This window comes from Homo sapiens, chromosome 6, assembly GCF_000001405.40.
Source record: "Homo sapiens chromosome 6, GRCh38.p14 Primary Assembly".
NCBI classification, from domain to species: domain Eukaryota; kingdom Metazoa; phylum Chordata; class Mammalia; order Primates; family Hominidae; genus Homo; species Homo sapiens.
The window spans coordinates 31,110,744-31,114,799 of record NC_000006.12 but is presented as its reverse complement, the minus strand read 5'-3'; the positions used below and the strand labels follow the sequence as shown (position 1 = coordinate 31,114,799).

The following is a 4,056-nucleotide window of genomic DNA, read 5'->3' as shown; positions in this document are numbered from 1 at the left end:
TCCAACCAGATTCCTGTCAGCTGAGTAGGAGGCCAGTTGGGCGTTGTTCCTGGAGCTGGGGGTGGAGAGAGTAAAGGACTGAGAGGATGGGAGCAGGGCAGGGAGTGCAGCCAAGCAGGGTGACTCACTGGCCTAGATCAAGAGGCCCAGCCTGTGGCAGAACAGAGCTGCCGGTGGTCTCTCCATCTTCACACTCCCTGCTCTGCTGGGGTCCAGAGTGAGAGTGTGAGCAACATGGCTCTCAGGTGAGGGCTGAGAAGGCAGAGTGCCCCAGTGGGAAAGAGGAGTCGCTTCCACTGGAGAAGAGAGAGAAAGTGGAGTGTGTGGTGGGGTCCATGCGACTTAAGTCCTGAGACAGGCAGGGAGAGGCTGAGGCGGACGAAGTTCCCGCATCCCAAGGAGGGCAGAGTGGATTGTGCTTGTCCCTGTAGGAGCCCCACCCCCCACCCCAGGCCACCTCTCAGAGCCTCTGCTTGGCTGCAAAGGAATTCACCCCTACTGTAGCACTTAACCCATTCCCTCCTATCAGGGTGGTGCTGTCTGGTCCTGAATTTAGAACTGTTGAAACTCCAAGTCTGGAATCAGCAAAAATGTATTACATTGACCAGAAAGGGATTGAATCACCCTTGGTCCAGCATCTGGCCCCTGATCTGCAGCCAATGGCAGGAATCGAGGTCCTCAGATGCTTCATGAATGGGAATTGCAGGGAGAGAAGGCTCTCTGATGTGGTGTTTCCTCGAGTCTCCTGCTGTGCTCCAAATTAAAAGCTTGTGTAAAACTCATGCATGTCATCCAAAAAGGCCTCTGGGCTCCATCCACTGCCAGTTCTGGAGAGGAGCTCTTCACTCCTCCAGTGGTTAAGCCAGCAGGGGCAGGTGGGGAGGACACAGCAGTAGAATCAGCCAACAGCTCATGTTTAGACCTTGGGCAGCCAGGGAAGCCTACTCCTGGGGCCTCCCGGAAGCCATGGAGAGAACAAAGCCATTGCATTTTTATAATAAAATTTGCAAACATATTTAAAAGCCAACAAACTGTTAATGAATCTCTACATTCTCATCGCCCAGCTTCAACAAGGATCAAGTCCTGGCCATTTGACAGCAGCATTTAAAGGCTCTCCTCTACTGTTACTTGGAAATAGCCACTTTCTCCCAAGGTTTCTTATACTCTATGGCACATCTGACCACCAGTAGCAGGCAGAATGATGTCTTCAACCCCAACACCATCAAAGATGTCCACATCCTAATCCCTGGAACGTAGGAATTAGGTTACATGGCAAAGGGAAATTAAGGTTCCAGATGGGATTAAGGTTGCTATTCGGCTGACTTCACAGAGATTATCATGGATTATTCAGGTGGGTCCAGTGTAGTCACCAGGTCCCTTAATGTGGACATGGGAGGCAGAAGAGGAAGTCTGAGTGATACAGTGTAAGAAATGGCTGATTTTGGCTTTGGAGATGGAGGAAGGGGACCATGAGCCAAAGAACACAGGATGCCTCTAGAAGGTGAAAAAGCAGGGAAAGGGATTTTCCCCTGAGGCCCCCAGAAAGAATCACAGCCCTGCTGACACCTTTATTTTAATCCACTGAGACCTGTTTTAGACTTCTGATCTCCAAAACTGTAAAGTAATAAATCCATGTTGTTGTAAGCCATTCGGTTCATGGTAATTTGTCACTGCAGCAGCAGGAATTAGTCAGTATCTCATAAGGATGGCATCCAGGTCCATTTCCCTAGCTAGATCCAGGGTCTCATGTAGGAGCAGCTCCTCAGATGGGGCCACTTCTGCACCCCAGAACCTCCTGCAGGTTGGGGCCAAGGTGAAGGAGATATGAGGATGCATGAGAAAGGGGTGCTGGGAGGAAACAATCCAGCTCCCAAAAAGAAACAAGTGTTTCTGTTGCTGAGAGAGGCAATTAAGAGAGTGGGACCCCAGGGTGGAGGTCCTTGTGTATAGAGAAGCAGGGCTGGGGAGGCTGGCAACCAGGGATGAGCTGTGAGCCAGGACACCTGGGCCAAGAAGGGGCAGGGAGGTCAAGGAAAGGAGCCAGGGCGGGAGACACCCAGCTTCCTCTGGGACATTCATTCAAGTGACACCTGTTGCCACAGACCACATTAGGAATGAGGGTGGAATGTGGAGGTTTATTGTCTTCACAACCACTAGCCCAGCCTGTTTCTGCTGTCCCCCACCCCACTACCAGGATAAAGGGCTGGCTGTCTTGGGGCTGAGGGAGATCGGGTGCTGAGCAGGATGCAGGGCCGCGTGGCAGGGAGCTGCGCTCCTCTGGGCCTGCTCCTGGTCTGTCTTCATCTCCCAGGTATGGAGGCCGTGATGCCCTTGGGCAGGAGGGACTGGAGGTCCCCCAGGAAACAGGAATTAAGGAAAGGGGTAAAGGCAGGAGGGTACACATTTAGGTCCCTGAGGGAAAAGGAAGAATAGGCATAGGGGAAGCAAAGGGAACTGGGGACTCGGGGACTGGAGACCACTGGTTGCTTTATCTTCCCTTTCCCTCAGGCCTCTTTGCCCGGAGCATCGGTGTTGTGGAGGAGAAAGTTTCCCAAAACTTGGGGACCAACTTGCCTCAGCTCGGACAACCTTCCTCCACTGGCCCCTCTAACTCTGAACATCCGCAGCCCGCTCTGGACCCTAGGTCTAATGACTTGGCAAGGGTTCCTCTGAAGCTCAGCGTGCCTGCATCAGATGGCTTCCCACCTGCAGGAGGTTCTGCAGTGCAGAGGTGGCCTCCATCGTGGGGGCTGCCTGCCATGGATTCCTGGCCCCCTGAGGATCCTTGGCAGATGATGGCTGCTGCGGCTGAGGACCGCCTGGGGGAAGCGCTGCCTGAAGAACTCTCTTACCTCTCCAGTGCTGCGGCCCTCGCTCCGGGCAGTGGCCCTTTGCCTGGGGAGTCTTCTCCCGATGCCACAGGCCTCTCACCCAAGGCTTCACTCCTCCACCAGGACTCGGAGTCCAGACGACTGCCCCGTTCTAATTCACTGGGAGCCGGGGGAAAAATCCTTTCCCAACGCCCTCCCTGGTCTCTCATCCACAGGGTTCTGCCTGATCACCCCTGGGGTACCCTGAATCCCAGTGTGTCCTGGGGAGGTGGAGGCCCTGGGACTGGTTGGGGAACGAGGCCCATGCCACACCCTGAGGGAATCTGGGGTATCAATAATCAACCCCCAGGTACCAGCTGGGGAAATATTAATCGGTATCCAGGAGGCAGCTGGGGAAATATTAATCGGTATCCAGGAGGCAGCTGGGGGAATATTAATCGGTATCCAGGAGGCAGCTGGGGGAATATTCATCTATACCCAGGTATCAATAACCCATTTCCTCCTGGAGTCCTCCGCCCTCCTGGCTCTTCTTGGAACATCCCAGCTGGCTTCCCTAATCCTCCAAGCCCTAGGTTGCAGTGGGGCTAGAGCACGATAGAGGGAAACCCAACATTGGGAGTTAGAGTCCTGCTCCCGCCCCTTGCTGTGTGGGCTCAATCCAGGCCCTGTCAGCATGTTTCCAGCACTATCCCCACTTTTCAGTGCCTCCCCTGCTCATCTCCAATAAAATAAAAGCACTTATGGAATTTGCTTCTCCTTGGTTTCTTTGTTTCTGGGCATAAGCTGAAGTGAGTCTGGGCATAAGCTGAAGTGAGTCTGTTCATTCCTGTTTTCTAGCCATCCCCACGGCCCTCTAGGGGCCCCTGCAGACGCTGTCTTGCTATCCCCATCCTTCACAAAGGATCAGTGCCCAAGTGCTTGAGGGTGGAGCCTCAGTCTCACCCCGGCCAGGTGGGAGAGCTGTTCCAGAATTGTGCTGGAATCTGAAAGGGGGAGGAGGGACAGCAGGACTAATTGAGATGGCACCTGCAGCAGGGGGCAAGGATGAGGTCCCAGAAGGCGGCTCCAGGGCCAGGTGGACAGGATTCCTTGCAACTCACAGAAACAGGAAGCCAAAAGTCGCAATGTCTACGCTTCACTTGTCTTTTCTTCCCCGGAAAGTCAAGCTTCTTGGAAGTGGAGGTACATCGACCTCCTCCCTTACAGGCATCATTTAGCACATTGT

General features: G+C 53.8%; 1 protein-coding gene across 1 annotated transcript; it reads left to right on the top strand.

The window, feature by feature from the left end:
* Positions 2,225–3,577, top strand: C6orf15 (chromosome 6 open reading frame 15). The gene is made up of 2 exons (NM_014070.3): positions 2,225–2,311; positions 2,509–3,577. The coding sequence occupies exons 1-2, from the start codon at positions 2,245–2,247 to the stop codon at positions 3,417–3,419; spliced, it is 978 nt and encodes a 325-aa protein (NP_054789.2). The 5' UTR covers positions 2,225–2,244; the 3' UTR covers positions 3,420–3,577.

Bases quoted from the DNA above. Each gene is read 5' to 3' on its own strand.
- C6orf15 (NM_014070.3), top strand. From the start codon at position 2,245: ATGCAGGGCCGCGTGGCAGGGAGCTGCGCTCCTCTGGGCCTGCTCCTG. The intron at 2,312-2,508 runs GTATGGAGGCCG...CCTTTCCCTCAG, and splicing joins GGTCTGTCTTCATCTCCCAG to GCCTCTTTGCCCGGAGCATC.